We start from the raw sequence: 17,445 nt of genomic DNA on the forward strand, positions 1-17,445 counted from the left end.
TCTCACCTCGCTTGAGCAAAATACACCTCTGCTGTACACCTAGCTGTCAGAGGAATCCTGCCTTTTCTCGTAGGTCTGTCATCCCTGTAGGGATTCGGGTGATAGCAGCTTTGAGGCACTACAGGTGTTTGACAGCAGCCTTGGCCACCTTCTGCCGATTTTACCCTTCTGAAGCAAGTCATGGTTCTTACTAGTTATGATTTTGGCACCTAATATACATCCCTTCTACTTTTCTTTAAAAAAAATTCATGCTGTAGTAAACTTAGTCATCTATCTTGCCCTATTGCCTAAAAAGATGTAGTTAATATAGATAAATATTTAAAAGGTAATTAACTTCAAAGGACTTTAAATTGTTGCCTTGCTAAAAAGTCTAGTCTTGAGGATCTGACATGAGTAACTAGTGTTAACCCTAGTCTTGGTTTTGAAAGAAACTCCTTTTATGTATCATACTATTTAAATCTCCTGTCAGGAAAAACATAAGAATTTGAGAATGTCTTGACTTTAAGAAGGAAAGGCAGGAATGACAGTTAAGTTACCACTGTCCAGGTCTGGACCTAATAAAAAAATTTCTAACATAAATCACCTAGTAGACTCTTGATAGAAGTTTAGTCTTTGTGTTTTATTATTATATAATAATAGTTTACATTTATTGAATGCCTACTGTGTGCCACCCACTGGGTATTTTTTATCTGGTCTTCATTAAAAAACAAGCAAGAACAAAATTCCAGCCAAGCAGGAAATATTGCCCCCATTTTAGAGGAGACAAAACTGAGACAGAGAGGAGAAGCGACTTGTTTAAGTTTATACATCTCGTGGGGTAATGACCAAAATTAGAGTCCAGGTGTTTGTGGAGTTGGCTAATAATAGATTTGTTGACAATGATTTGCCCACATACCTTGAACAAGGCCCGTTAACTAATTTGATACTGTTTTCCTTGATCCCCATGGTGACCAAGATCCCTCATTCTTGAAAGCTTAGAAACATTATCATATTTTATACAGTAGAAATCTGCTTTTCCTGTAAATCTTTCCACATCTCTGTCCTTTCTAGCTTCTGTAGCCCAACTGTGAGCATGATGTAGTTTTTAGCTGTTTAATTTCCACATTGGAATATTCCTACTGATGAAGGAATAAGGTAACCAGGCTGACGAATGTAGCATGTGGAGTCTCTGGGGAAGATTTCAGATCATACATGAACTCTTAAATTTCTTGAATGGCTGATGAGAATAGGGTGCTTTTGTATTCTTAGCTGGGCTTGCTCTTAGTTCTGCAGTAATTGAGATTGTTCCCCATTTTTATGTAATCAAAGAACAGTTTTTCTCTTGGTCAGATCTAGATCTTGAGATTATATCATGGATAAAGCTTTAGTGCAGGTCACTGCACAATGCCCAGGTGTGAGGCAGGGAGGTGGGGCTTGCTTTTTACAGCTCTTACCCTGTGAGGTATGCAGGTAAGATTCTTATAACATGCCTGTGTGTAAGTGCATGAATCTTGATTTATGTTTATTTATAATCCCAAAGAAATTTTTTTTAGGTTTAAAAAGCCCATTTTCCTTGATTAACACATGACAGACAGTGTCTAGAGAACTTGATCCTTTGGGATGAAATATGAGGACTCTGAAATACAAACATGCGTGTAGAAGTAGAAACATCTTTCATCTATTAAATACACAAATATATATACATACACACACCCCCAAAACACACACACCCTCAATGTAATCAGCAGCTTTGGATAGAGAAATCATTAAGCCTATTCTTTCTTTTTTTTCCCCACTGAAACTAAAAGCCAGTTACCTAGCAGGGAAAATTTTCTTGAAGTTTTGACCTTTTCCAACATACATATGTACTTACCACACTTCTTATGATTTCTTAGTATGTTCAGCTCTTTCTATCCTTTTGCTTTTCATAAAAATACTTTAAAGTGTATTTTCTTAAATAGGCAAAAACATATGTGGTTCAAAATTCAAAAGGTAACAAAAGAATATGCAGTGAATGTTTTATTCTGTTCCCTAGCCATTCATTCTGTTTTCTGGAAGCAACCATAGTTACTAGAGTTTTGTGTATCCTTTCAGATATTCTGTGTGCATATACAGACAAGTGTGTGTGTGTGTTTATGTCATTTTTAATGTAATTGGTGATGTATCATCTTTTTTTCCCCACTTTGAGATGATTCATATTAGTATACAAATAGCTTCCTCAGACCATTTTACAGTTGTATCATAATTTGTGTCCAAGTCCCCTCCCAGTGGCTTTATGGACTGTTTCTAGTCTTTGCTGTTCTAAACAGTGCTGCAGTGAGTAGTATTTTACATACATGTGCAGGTATCTAAGAGAGAAAGTGCCGGGCTCAAGGAAATGTTCTTCTGTAATTTTGATAGTCTTTTCTGCTAGCCTTTGTCACTCCTTGCTTTTCTTAACACAGCTCTGTCTTGCTGCTTTGCTGTCTCTGTATGTCATGTGCTTCTGCCCACAGGATTTGCCTTGTGGTCCCTATCTCTTTGTCTAGGATCCCGGTTAAAGCTAACACTCTTCAGGAAAGTCTCTTGATGATTCAAATCAGGTCTTTCTGTACAACCTGATTTAATATATTTGTCTTGACTTCCCAAGATGGAACTTTATTTTTTTAAATCAGTTCTTGTTATAATTAATGTTTAAAATGATGGGTAAATAATCATTGGCACATAATTCTTATATTTGCTTGCTCTTCTCAGGTTTATAGACAATGTAAAGGATTTTTGTAGACAAAAAATAGATCTTTGCCTGTGATGCTTTTTTTTTTTTTAATTTTATTTTTTATTTGAGTCTCGCTTTGTAGCCGAGACTGGAGTGCAGTGGCATGATCTGGGCTCACTGCAGGATCCTCTGCTTCCTGGGTTCAAGTGATTCTCCTGCCTCAGCCTCTCAAGTAGCTGGGACTACAGGTGCGTGCCACCATACCTGGCTAATTTTTTTGTATTTTTAATAGAGACGGGATTTCACTATGTTGGCTAGGCTGGTCTCAAACTCCTGACCTCGTGATCCACCCGTCTTGGCCTCCCAAAGTGCTGGGATTACAGTTGTGACCCACCGTGCCTGGCCACGTGTGATACTTTAATTAAAGTTTTATTTAACAATAGTCTTTTTGGGATATTTGTGAAAAGATTTTAAAATACTATGCTATTGATATTTGATATTTAAACCATTTTCACTGTAGCCAAGAATTTTGCTATTGTATTTGTGTGTTTGTAAACACTAATTCATTTTTGTCAGTTTTGTTTTCTGGTGTTTTTGTTTTGAGGAAACTCAGTCATGATTGTTGCCAAATACTGAGTAGGAATACATTTAACTTATTTTCGTTTTGCAGATATTTTGGCCAAAACAACAACTTTAGAATTCTTTTTTTAATGTCAAGGATATTTTAAATATGAGCAGAACCTAAAATTCTAACATATCTTAGGTATTTTAGATTATACATATGTATATCTCTTTCTACATACAATATATACAGATTATATACTGGCACTGCCAAGACACAGAAAATAGTAATGTGCAGGCATGTCATAGTTAAGTATGTGGTGGGAACACATGAGTCCTTTTATGTGCCTATATTCTGGGATGTTAATTTCATTATTTGGAACGTCTGCTTTTCACACTCAAGCAGGTGCAAACTAACGTTTTATTTGATTTTTTTCGAGACAGTCTCGCTCTGTTGCCCAGGCTGGAGTGCAATGGCACAGTGCAACCTCCGCCTCCCAGGTTCAAGTTATTCTTCTGCCTCAGCCTCCCGAGTAGCTGGGATTACAGGTGTGTACCACCATGCCTGGCTAATTTTTTTTTTTTTTTTTTTTTTTGAGACGGAGTCTCGCTCTGTTGCCCGGGCTGGAGTGCAGTGGCACGATCTCGGCTCACTGCAAGCTCCACCTCCCAGGTTCACACCATTCTCCTGCCTCAGCCTCCCGAGTAGCTGGGACTACAGGCGCCTGCAACCACGCCCGGCTAATTTTTTGTATTTTTAGTGGAGACGGGGTTTCACCGTGTTAGCCAGGATGGTCTCGATCTCCTGACCTCATGATCTGCCTGCCTCAGCCTCCCAAAGTGCTGGGATTACAGGCGTGAGCCACCGTGCCTGGCCTAATTTTTGTATTTTTTGATAGATGGGGTTTTGCCATGTTGGCCAGGCTGGTCTCAAACTCCTGACCTCAGGTGATCCGTCTGCCTCAGCCTCCCAAAGTGCTGGGATTTGAGGCGTGAGCCACCACACCCGGCTTGATCATTTTTTATTGGAACATTTATTTGTCTTTAAGATTTGGGGAAATTTGGTTTGTAGTCATTGTGCCAAAACCTTGTGAAGAGACAGTTGCCGCGTGTTCCTGTACACTGTGCTTCAGCAGTGTTCGGAATGGATGGTTCAAGACCTTCTAGGCTTTCTGTGTTTGCAGTGTGCTCTCTCCCCCAGTGATTTGTCACAGCATCCTCATGACAGATTTAGGAGAAGGGGGTAATCTTTGTCTGACGTGACAAATGAGAGAAGGAACAGTGTTAAAATTGGAGCCATAGTTGGCTGGGTATGGTGGCTCATGCCTGTAATCCCAGCACTTTGGGAGGCCGAGGCGGGCGGATCACGAGTCAGGAGATCGAGACCATCCTGGTCAACATGGTGAAACCCCGTCTCTACCAAAAATACAAAAATTAGCTGGGCGTGGTGGCACGTGCCTGTAATCCCAGCTACTCTGGAGCTGAGTGAGGCAGGAGAATCCCTTGAACCAGGGAGTCGGAGGTTGCAGTGAGCCAAGATAGCACCGTTGCACTCCAGCCTGACGACAGAGCGAGACTCCATCTAAAAAAAAAAAAAAAAAAAATTGGAGCCAGTTATTTGCCTCTGTTTTCTTTTCTCCTGTACTTCCGGTCTGTCACAGGGACACTAGTTCTTCATAAATGCATTTCCTCACTAATTCTCAAACAGCTGTTTGGGTGACATTGCTGAAATGTGTATACAAAACATAAACACAGCACCCAAATGTGAGGACTGTTTCCTTTAACATGATTATAAAACAAGAGAAACTGAAGTTGACTACAGAGTCAATTCTGAAGCCCAGTCATACAACTAGAAAATGATTGAAAAGATAACTGAAATTTGTTGAATTTAATATGCTAAATAAAATATTAAGGCTTTCAGATAAGTCAATGAAGTTATACATTTAAATGTTTAGAAAGAGAATTGTAAATGTCTGTTTAGTAAGAATTAGAAAAAGTTCCAGTCTGAGCAGCAGGGAGTGTTCCCTGGTAAATTTCACAAGTTGAAATAGACTCATAACCTACCTTTATAGAATAGCTGAGTGTTCCGTGATCTCATGTAGTTTAAAGAAGATGTGTTTGTAATGGTATAGGAAACATAGAAAATAATGCATTTTGATATAAGAAAATCACGGTATGGTTGGACACATACATTAATGTACACGAGGCACATTGTTTTTTAAAATGGGATGGGCTTGTGTTGACTTGATGAAAATGCAAATTGGTATAGCTATAAGGTGCTGGTTTTCATGATACATTTTAGGAAAATGATGACTTAGATATTAGGTTATTTTGGGGAGAGAATGAAATTTTTTTGTAAGTGATAGAATTTCAGATACTAAAACTACTAATCTTACCTTTGAGTCATGAAAATAATGGATATTGTATTAAATAAGTTTAAGGTACCTCCTTAGATATACAAAGGAACTACCAACTTTGAATGCTTTTGGCTGAATTTTAACATTTTTATTGATGAGCCTTAGAAGAAATACTTGAACACATATATTGATATTTAGTTGCCAGCTAGTTTAGAAAAAGCTACAGTGAAATGCCAGAGTAACTTCTGACTTTAAGTTCCAAAGTTCCATTGGTTAGGGAGATTGTTTTCATAATTTATAATTTCCAGGAAAAGGGGAAAATATATATTGACAGAAACTCTGGTTGGAAGAAATTTTATGGAACCGTTGCCTGGAAGAGTAGTGGGAGTTTTGAATCTTAAGATGACACCAGAAAAACTTAATGATTTAGATTAATTAAAGAGACCTTCCATGCTGGCAAAATGCAGACAGAAGTTTTTTTTATTTTAGTTTTATAAAAGTACTTTATATAGCAATGCTTTCTTTATTTCATCCAAGTAACTTCCCAGACCTTCCACCTGTTCCAGTTTCATTTTGTCTGCCTTTGTTCCTGTTCACTGTCATTGATCTATATATTCGTATAAGAATTTCATATAGTTTCCTGTCTGACTATACTGTAAGAAGTAACCTAAGAATATGTTGTTATATAAATTCAAGTTTTAGGATAGAGCATAACTGTATATGAGCCAATGCATTTTTAAAAAGTATTTAACTCTTTCAGTAAAGTGTTTCTTCCTTTCAGGCAGTGTTTAAAAATTAGTATCTTTCAATCTAAGGAGTCATTAATAATTTTAAATTCCCCTTTCTTATAGTAGTGGTTCACACCTGGTTTTCTAGTGAGGGTAAGAGGTGAAGCTATGACATTGGAGCATCTTCTAGAGAGGTTATGTGGGCAGGGAGAAGAGTCAGAGTCCACCAGGAAACAAAGGTGTAGTCCCATCTCTGTTACTCTCTTGCTGTAGGACGTTGGGGAAGTCACATACCACCCCGCCACCTCCACAATTTCCTCACCTCTGAAGTGAGGAGATCATTGCAAATCCAATTAGCTCCAATATTTTTTGGTTTTCAAACCTATCTTAAACAGTAGAATTCATTCTTGAAGAGAAATTCTGTCACCTGTGGAGCTTTCGGGCATGAAGGTGAGGAAGCCTGGCTGTGCTTGTGAGCACGGGGCTGCCGTCCTTTTCCACGCCTTGGCCTCTTGCTGGTGTGGCTGGGCACAAAGAGCCCTCCACCCGGCCTTATAAGTGACTGTTTGTTTGCTTTAGGGGCTATCAACAGCAGGACGCCCATGAATTCATGCGCTACCTTTTGGACCACCTACACTTGGAACTTCAGGGCGGTTTCAACGGTGTTTCCCGCTCAGCAATTCTGCAGGAGAATTCTACTCTGTCTGCAAGTAACAAGTGTTGCATGTAAGATTTAGTTGCCTTCTGTTTTTTAGGAGGGCCTCAGACATTTCTTTTGGTGTTAATTATGTGTTAGATTTATAACGGAAGGTAGAGGGGTTTCTTGGACATTTGCTGGAACTTTTCGTGCCCTTGAACTTTGTGACCCAGTGAACTAGCACATACCTCTTGCTTCTAGACCAGAGGCATCTTGTATTTGCATCCTGATTTAGTTCTGACTGTGATTAATTGGTATAGATTATTTTAAATTTTGAAAAAATAGAAAATATTTGTACAGTTCAGCATTTAGAAGATTTCCTCCAAATATACTGAATGATAGGCAGGAGACTTAATTTTCATATACCAAAATAATATTTGTTCACTAAAAACAAAAGCTTAAAACATTTTGAATGTGAACTTTCCTAAAGCTTCATTATGGACTTGAACTTTCCTAAAGTTTATCTGTTCTTTAATGAAATCGAGGCATTTGTAAGTTCTCAGAAGTTTTTCTTGCCTCTCAATATGAATAAAACAAAGCTTTTGGATTGCTTTCCCATGTACTAGCAGCCCCCAAGTATACACTGAGATCAGGACACTTATTTTGCTTGAAGAAGGGAAGATTTAATGTTATTTTAGCCTGGATTTTGGTCAGTTGCAGCCTCCTTTGTTCAAATGTTTTGAAAAGTTTCATCAGTATTGAGCTTCATGGGAGAGATTTACAAGAAGACAAACTCCCCCCAAACAGAGAGAAAACAGTAAGTAACATATAGGTGTCATTGTATTGCCTGGCAGTCCATAAATCGGATGTGGTAGGACTACTTCTTTTTAATGGCAAAACAGGCTTATAGCTAACCAAGCAGTGTTAGAAAAGGGCAACCAATGTGAATTGCCATACTTCTCAAAATGATTGTCCCTCTAGGTCCTAGTAGCTGTGATTCCAATTAGAATCCAATATAGAAAGGGAAGGACCTGTGACCTGGGAGAATTGTTCTTCCTGCTAGCACCAAATTAAAAAGTATTAAATGAAAAATTCTGTTTTGTATTTTATCATGGCATATTCATCCACAAAGGATATTGAACTGGGCACTATCATGGATAGGCTGTGTGAGGTGAGAGAGGGTATATGTCTTTATGATTTTACATGATGCCTGGGCACCCTGTGGAATCACACTGTGTAATACTCAGAATGTTCTTTTAGTGCCTCATGAGTTTTCAGGATTAATCTATCCCTTTTCATGACATTTTAAAGATTAGGATTGCAAGTTTTATTACTGAGTTAGGGACAGAAACCAAACATTATCAAATATTAAAAATTCAGATTTCCTTCAGTGCATTGGAAAAGCCATTTCAGGATCTAAGAATATTTGCTACAACTAGAAAAAGGTATCTTGTGCAATGTCTTTGTTGACTTGTGCACACACACACCTACCCCTACTGAAGGTGAAGGTGAGGACGGTGGTATGGAAGAAATAAGTGGCAGATGTGATCTTTATAGCACATAGGAAATCATTAGTGCCAGCTAAAGGACCCTAGAATCATAAGAGCCTATCCAATAAGTATTCAATATTTAAACAGTTGTGGTTATAATAAATGAAACTCATTTTTAATATTAAGTCATGGTATATATGAAACTTAATATTAAACATGTCAGGCAGCTAAAATCTTGATGAGTATCCATTTCCCAGAGGAAGTGATTACAAGGAAGAACTACATTGAGTCTAAATGTAATTCTTAATGAAGCAGTTTCCATTTTAATTAAAGGCAAACTTGTATGTGAACATCAGCATGAAAGGGTCAGTTAGAGTCCCTTCATTTTCAGCAGGGTTTTGTTTTTTTTTTTGCTATGTCCTTTTTTAGTGACACAGATATTAAACCTAAAGCTGAAATGGCCACTAGGTCCTACAGCTCCCAATCCTTCTTCCCCAATGCCATCTTTTAAAAAAAAATTTAAGACAATATGTCTTACAAACAGTACTTTAAAAAGTAATAATAAAGTTACAGCCTATTTATTTTGTCAGTAAAGGAAGGAAGCCTTTTCCTAGAAAAGGAATCAAACTTTTCAAATAGAATTGCTCGAGTAGGTTTTGTCATCATTGCAGTAGGTTTAACTTAAAGTGGCCTAGAAAATACACTTCAGTGTTTAGGAGTAATTGATTCAAGTGACAGAAACTACCTTATATTGCTATTAGCAAAAAAGAGCGTGTATTGGCTCAAGTAACTCCGTAAGTGCACGAAGGCTAATAGACAAGTGTTCATGTAGTACTATTAATGATAGCAAACAATTGAAAGAGCTGTGTTAAGAACAGATATTCAGGCCAGACCAGCAGTATGACCTTGGACTAACTTAACCTCAGCGTCCTCATCTACAACATGGGGCTAACAGTAGCTACTTTACAGGTGTGTTGTGAAGATTAATTGATTGACTAGATGGAAAGAATGTGCTTGGAATGGAGCCTGCGTGTAGTAAGTGCTATTATAAGTGCCTACTACTCCTGGTCTCACTGGTACGCTTTCTCAGTAGTTCTTGCTTCCATTGTATGTCCATACTCTGACACACAGTGGGGCTGTCAGGAAGAATGAGGTACCTGTTTAAGATACACACTTAGGGAAAAACATAAAAGTAAGAAGCAGGTGTAATCTGACTTCATACTAATAAAATAGTGGCAAACACTTTAAGTGCTTTATTTTTGGTAAGTGCTCTTCTAAAAGCACTTCACATACACAACTCTCTCATCTACACACTGAGCCTCTGTGGTGGGTACTCTTCCTGTATTCCTGTTTTATATCTGATGGAGCAGAGGCATAAAAAGGTTAAATAACATTAGGGCAGGTGGTTTTGAAAATCGTTCTTAAAACAGTATATTCTTCATCTCCACAAGGAAATTATTTGCAATATTAAGTGAGCTTTTTAAAAAGTGTTCTCCGCAGTAATATCCAGAATTTTCAATTGTGAAGTCTTACTTCCAGCAGTAATTACTAAATCTGTATTAAATTCCTTTACTTCCTTTTCCCCAAATCTGACAGATGGCTGTATAAAAACTCTAAAACTATCTCAGATCAAGGATGTTCAAAGTCAAGTAATTGTGAGAGTTCCCTGTAATGTAAGAGGCCTTGCAAAGATTCCAATACAAGGCAGTTTCATCCTTTTGAGGCCTAACTTGGGGAGGAAATGGAAGGAGTCATGTTGCCCTGTGCAGAGTCATGCATGTGATCTGTGTTATGATAGCAAATGGCCAGTGTTAGTTACTCTTGGGGAAAGTAGTGGGATTGGATGAGGGCATTGGGGGAGGCCAGTGTAGCTTAAACCTTTTATTTAGTATGTGTCTGTATGGTTTTGAAATTTTTATATTATTTTTTAACTTAGAAATAAATGACTTAAATATTCCCTCAAAGGCAGTCATCTGTAGGGGCTTTAACAAATATTTGTAGTTTTTTAAATGTCAAAGAGATGGCTTCTTACTGAGATATTTTCCTGTGTGGTGATTTTGTTTAGAAATGGAGCATCTACTGTTGTCACGGCTATATTCGGAGGCATTCTCCAAAATGAGGTTAACTGCCTCATATGTGGGACAGAATCTAGAAAGTTTGATCCATTCCTAGGTAAGATATATGTGGCATGTGGATATATAATATTTTATTAAAATAAATTTAATGTTTCCTTCAAAAAATAAGTGTAAAGAGAAATCTAGAAATACATCAGTTTGTGAAATTATTTTGAATGGACATATATGCCTTTAACAGCTCTCTGTTTACCTCTCTCTCCTTTTAAGACCTTTCATTAGATATTCCAAGTCAGTTCAGAAGTAAGCGCTCTAAGAATCAAGAAAATGGACCAGTTTGTTCGTTACGAGGTAAAGATACTTGAATGTTCTAAAAATTTTTTTCTTTAAATAATTGAATAGATTGATAAGCTTCATCTATATGTGGTATCTTTAATTAATATCTTTAATGAATCTGTGTTGTAACTTAACAAAAGTCAAACTTGAATGTCTTTTCCTACTCCCCAAAATGTTATTGAATAAGAATGTGTGCCATAAGATATTGTGTGAAGCATAAAATATTTCTCACCTTTTTCTTCTTTGAAATACTGACTTTAAAATAGAAGGTCTGTAGCAAAAGTTTTTCTGACCAAATGAAACAGAAGTTATTCTGTGGTTATCCCACTAGCATCTATAGGAAGAAAGAATACTCAGCAGAGTTTTATAAATTATAGTATTACGTATTCTGTTGCCTAATAGTTTGAGAAATCTATGGATGATACAACTGCTGCTTAAGCCTGAGGCCCTGCTTTTAAGACTGTTAAAATTCACATGTATTTAGGGAGATTTGAACATATTTTTTGCTTGATGAGTACTAGCTACTGTAATCAAGGCAGAAGACCTTATTTAAAATTTTATCCTAGACCATAAGTGTACAGACAGGTCACAATTAAAATGACTAATTGTTCTTGCTAGTTATATAAAGAAGCTAGGATAGACCAAAGAGGCCGAGTCTGTATTTTATCAGAAACTCTACACTGAAGCTAACAGTTTCTACTCTGATTTGTATGTTCACTAAAAGTAATGCTCTTTTCTCTTCTCTATTTTAGGGAGTATTGTCATGATGGTTTTTTTTTTTTTTTTTTTTTACAAAACAAACTGCACTGTCCAATATGATAACCACGAGTCATGTAGCTATTAAAATTAAATTAATTAAAATTTAAAATTCTGTTGCTTAATCACACTTGAACCACATGTGCTCAGGAACCACATGTGGCTAGTAGGGGGCTCCTGCATTAGACAGCACTACCCTAGGATCAGATTATCCTAGTAGAAATAAAACTTTTGTTGGAGAAGGGCTAGGCTTCTCTGTGCTACTGGCATTCTATGTAATGTGAGGCATTTGGCTTATTAGAAGCAGCAGAGGTCTCAGACACTTGTAGCACTGTTGCTCAGGTCGTTTCTAGAAATCTGTCAGATGATATGTGGGATGACTAGACTACACTCCAGTAAGGAACCAGAGCAACTCTGTATATGAAACATTTTGTAGATGCTCTTAGTTTGTTCCTTACCTACACAACCAGTGTTGATTGTCTCCTTAACAGGAATACAGAAGAAAAAGCCCCACTCCACTTCTCTGCAAAATATATGGCTCTAGTATGTGTCTCCAAAACTGTTTTTGGCCTGTTTGAGATTAAGAAAATATCACAGTATGCTTGATATTGTCAAATGTCACACATTTTCTCTTTATATCTAGGGCATGTGAGTACATGCTAACTTAACCATAAATATCTGAATATCTGGTTATTTACAGTGGAAGTCAGTGAGAATTAAATTAAAGGAATTAGCCTCAAACTGTATCATTTTATAAACTCTTCAATAAGAACAGTAATAATCACATTAGTTTAAAAACTGTTCCTCGCTATAAATACATGGATATATATCTGAACAATACTTTTTTTTTTTTTTTTTTTGAGACCGAGTCTTGCTCTGTCGCCCAGGCTGGAGTGCAGTGGCGCGATCTTGGCTCACTGTAACCTCCGCCTCCCAGGTTCAAGTGATTCTCCTGGCTCAGCCTCCTGAGTAGCTGGGACTACAGGCGTATGCCACCACACCTGGCTAATTTTTGTATTTTTAGTAGAGACGAGGTTTTGCCATGTTGGCTAGGCTGGTCTTAAACGCCTAACCTCAAGTGATCCACACCCCTTGGCTTCCTAAAGTGCTGGGATTACAGGCATGAGCCACCGCACCCAGCCTGAACAGTACTTTCTGATGTTTAACAAAACTTAGTAAATCCAGATGATCTTTGGCTAGAAGACTCAGAGACACTAGTTTGTTTAGGCTTCTTTCCTTGCTTCCTTCCTTTTTTCTATGTTGTTTCCCTCATTCTGAGTTGGTTCTATATGTAGTTCTTATTGACTTTCATAACATTTCAGTTACGACTTATCCCAGAATAGTTTAATATCAAGCAGAGTCTCACTTCTCGAGCCCATCCAGGAGGAGAGTGCATGACACAGCTTATAGATGGCTGATTTTTCCCCAAACAAGAAAAGTGGCAAGTGGCATCTGCCTTGCATCCCACGGAGTATTTTTCTTGGCACAGAATCCTTGAAATCTGATGTGACTGGTATTAGCTTCAGGGGGCCCAGACCATCCCAAGTAGTTTAGGGTTTGGCTGGAAACATGTTTCCTGTATTCTCAGCTGGCTTTCGTTTGAATCCTCAGGCTTGATTTTTATTTAAGAGCTTATTGTCGGCTTTAAAAAGTCGATGACAGGGTCTGGTACCTCCTCACTGTGTTTTTGTTGACCACCCTTATCATTAAGGGCACTTCTCTTCTTGGACATCCAGAATGTCATGGACTTCAGTTGACTGATACACCTTTCTTTATTTACTGGAGATGGAGACTTGTGATTACCTAGTATGTCTTCTACGTGCTTTGAGTCCACCTGGCAAGAACTACTTGTGTACTTTTTGGATTTGTAATTGTTAAGCTTAGTTTTCCTTTAGAAAGGAAAAGTGATGGTGAGAAAGACCCATCTTAAATAACTTAAGTAACTTTTGAAATTAACTAAAAATACGCATATTGCAAAAGGCATTAAATAACCCCAGTTCTAAAACCTGACAGATACCATGAAAAAGAAAATGTAGTTTGATCTCACTTATATTATAGATCGAAGAATCCTAAATAAAGTATTAGCAAATACAACTCAGCAGTGTACTAAAACAATAATATTCAGAGATCAAATAGGACTGATTTAATACTAGAAATATAATTAGGTGAAAACAAATCAAAATGCCCTAATAGGCCAAATGCCTAGGCACAGTGGCTTATGCCTGTAGTCCCAGCACTTTGGAAGGCTAAGGTGGGAGCATTGCTTGACCCCAGGAGTTTGAGACCAGCCTGGGCAACATAGTGAGACCCTGTCTGTACAAAGAAAAGAAGGCCGGGCGTGGTGGCTCACGCCTGTAATCCCAGCACTGTGGGAGGCCAAGGCAGGCGGATCATGAGGTCAGATCGAGACCATCCTGGCCAACATGGTGAAACCCCGTCTCTACTAAAAATACAAAAATTAGCTGGGCATGGTGGGGAGTACCTGTAACCCCAGCTATTTGGGAGGCTGACCCAGGAGAATAGCTTGAACCAGGGAGTCAGAGGTTGCAGTGAGCTGAAATCGTGCAACCGCACTCCAGCCTGGTGACAGAGCGAGACTCCGTCTCAAAATAAATAAATAAAATAATAAGAAAAATTAACTGGGCATGGTGGTATATGCCTATAATCCCAGCTTCTTGGGAGGCTTAGGCAAGGAGGATCACTTGAGCCCAGGAGTTGGAGGCTGCATTGAGCCTGCACTGCTCCTGTACTCTAGGCCTGGGTGAGAGAGTGAGACCCTGCCTCAAAAAAAAAAAAAAAAAAGTCCAAATAGATACTGATAAAATCCCAAATATATTACTGATTAAAAGGAGAAGAAAGGGGTGGGTGCAGTGTAGTCCCAGCACTTTGGGAGGCCAAGACGGGCAGATCACTTGAGGCTAGGAGTTCGAGACCAGCCCTGGCCAACATGGAGAAACCCCATCTCTACTAAAAATACAAAAATTAGCCAGGTACGGTGGCATGTGCCTGTAGTCCCAGCTCCTCGGGAGGCCAAGGCAGAATAATGGCTTGAACCGGGGAGGGAGGTTGCAGTGAGCCGAGATCGTGCCACTGCACTCCAGCCTGGACAACACAGTGACACTCTGTCTCAAAAACAAAGAAAAGAAAAAACTTTTATTAGGAATAGAAATGTTAACTTGGCCAGGCGTGGTGGCTGAAGCCTGTAATCCCAGCACTTTGGGAGGCCGAGGCGGGTGGATCACGAGGTCAGGAGATAGAGACCATCCTGGCTAACACGGTGAAACCCCGTCTCTACTAAAAATACAAAAAAAAAAAAAATTAGCTGGGCATGGTGGCAGGCATCTGTAGTCCCACCTACTCAGGAGGCTGAGGCAGGAGAATGGTGTGAACCCGGGAGGCAGAGCTTGCAGTGAGCCGAGACGGCGCCACTGCACTCTAGCCTGGGCGACAGAGCAAGACTCCGTCTCAGAAAAAAAAAAAAAAAGAAGAAAAAAAAAAGAAATGTTAACTTGATGACAATTATTCATTAAAAGCTATCAGTGATCATCATAGTTAATGGTGAAGCACTGATGATTTTCCAGTAAGGCCAGGAATAAGCCAGGAGGCCTACTGAAATATTGCTCAGATGTCTTCTGGAGGAACAAGGCAATAAACTAGGAAAAGAAATAAGAATAAATTATAGAATGACCAAATTATTAACATTTGCAGGCAGATTGATTATATACCTAGAACATTTCAGGATAATCAGTTGGAAAATTACGAGAAATATTAACAACTATTGCCATGGAGAGTGAGACTAGGCAGGAGGACACCTGCTTTTCTAGAAGCCCTCAATTTTTAAAAAATCAAACACAAGTAATACTTTGATAAATATATTATAAACATGGAGCTAAAAAGTTCAGGCAAAAAGCCAGCTGGCTTTCTGTATGTAGCAAAATAATCTATTCACAGTAGCAATAAAAACTCAAAAGTACTTAATAAATTTAATAAGGAATATGCAATACTTTAATAAAACATTATAAAAGGACAGATAAAGCCTGAATAAAAAGAGCCACATCATATTCTTGGATGGGAAGACCCAATATGGTAGAAATGTCCATTTTCTCCCAAATTACTCCCTACATTTATTCTGATTTATTCAAAAATTCCTCTGTACGCAGAAATTCTCAAGAAGAGCTAAAGAAGTTTCTAAAATGAAAGTAAGGTAGAAACATAGCAGTGGGATAGGAAATGTCCTAGAACTACTAATATAGAGCAGGTGCTAATGTAAAATATTTATGCAAATTTACAATATGCCAAAGAATGTCAAATCAGTGGGACGAATAAGAAATTAGGCAATAAATGGTGTTAGTGTAAATGAAAATTAATTTGGGAAAACATTAATTTCCTCCCTGCCTCATATCCTTTCCCTGATTAATTTGAGGTTTCAATATTTAAATGTGAAACATAAAACCACAGGACACTATAGGAAAGCATCTTTATTATGATCTTGTCATAGGGGAGAGCTTTCTAAGCCAGAACCTATAATGGGAAACGTTTCATAAATTTAATTGAGCAATGGTAAAAGACCATAAACAAAGTGGAAAAGAGATGATAAACTTGAGACAAATATTTGGACATATATGAAAAAGGTGACTTGGGCAGAGTACATGAGTAAGATATAAATGATCATTATAACATCTAAAAAGTGTTAATCCTCACTTATATTCAAGAAAATGTAAGTAAAACAAGATTGGTGAAAAGGGTAAAGATGGATGTCAGTGGAAGAGGACACTCGTGTTGTTGTTATAAGTCTAAATTGGCATGGTTGTTTTTGGAGGTAGTGATCACCATTTTTAATAGGCATTTCCTTAGACATACTAATTTCACTTACAAGGGTGGACAATAGTATGTGTAAAAGATTTTAAACACTTTGTTATTGAAAAAAATCAAACAATTTAAATGTCCACCAGTAGGGCACTGGTTTAATAAATTGCATTATGTGGCAATTAAGAAAGATAAAGTTGACCAGTAACTATGCCATAGAAACATAGCTACAAAATATTGTGTAGTAAAAAACTGTCCATGGAAATATGTGTGTGGAATAATTCCATTTGTGTAAGATAAAAAACATTTATATGAGTGTTAAAATTCTTAAACAGCATACACTGTGCTGTTCACAGTGATTATCTCAGGGAAGTGGGATTCAGGAGGGAAATGGAACTATGAATTATTTTTTTCATTTGTTTTAACCGATGTGTGTCACCTTTATAATACCTATTTGGGGGATAGTAAAAAATGCATATTAACTTAATGTATACTTCCAAACTACTGCTTTGCTAAATTAAATTTATATAGTATATAAAGTTGACCTAATAACTAACTTCAACAAACCAGCTTTATTTCCTGCTTTCCATAGAGATGCTGTTTTAACAGTTTATATCATGTGGAAGACTGACGGTTGTGAAATACATGCCCTGAAATCTTTGAGAATCTTAAGAGTTTCAGAAAGTGGTGCATATATATATGAATATATAATATATATATGAATATATAATATATATGCATATATACTTATTTTAATATTTATATAAATATATATTTTTTCTTTTAGGAAATGCAGTAAAGTACAAATGAAATATTAAGCAGCTTCCTCAGATCCTTACTGAAATGTGAACACTGGATAGCTAGTAGACTCTTTTTGAGATGGAGTCTTGCTCTGTCACCCAGGCTGGAGTGCAGTGGCACAATCTTGGCTCACTGCAACCTCCACTTCCCAGGTTCAAGCGATTCTCCTGCCTCAGCCTCCCGAGTAGCTGGGATTGCAGGCACGAGCCACCATGCCCAGCTAATTT

The 17,445-nt window shown here is 37.8% G+C and overlaps 1 protein-coding gene across 10 annotated transcripts in view; it reads left to right on the forward strand.

Moving 5' to 3' along the window:
* The window catches only part of USP3 (ubiquitin specific peptidase 3), a 90,041-nt gene that overhangs the window by 58,941 nt on the left and 13,655 nt on the right, over window positions 1-17,445 (forward strand). For all 10 annotated transcript variants that reach the window (NR_046341.2, NR_046342.2, NM_006537.4 and 7 more), the window contains 3 exons: window positions 6,900-7,046; window positions 10,513-10,619; window positions 10,790-10,870. Coding sequence is in view for 8 of the 10 variants with exons in the window: in NM_006537.4 (NP_006528.2) it covers window positions 6,900-7,046; window positions 10,513-10,619; window positions 10,790-10,870 (335 nt within the window). In the remaining 2 variants the exon portion in view is untranslated. The remainder of the gene's footprint in view (window positions 1-6,899; window positions 7,047-10,512; window positions 10,620-10,789; window positions 10,871-17,445) is intronic.

Source organism: Homo sapiens, chromosome 15, assembly GCF_000001405.40.
Source record: "Homo sapiens chromosome 15, GRCh38.p14 Primary Assembly".
NCBI lineage: Eukaryota > Metazoa > Chordata > Mammalia > Primates > Hominidae > Homo > Homo sapiens.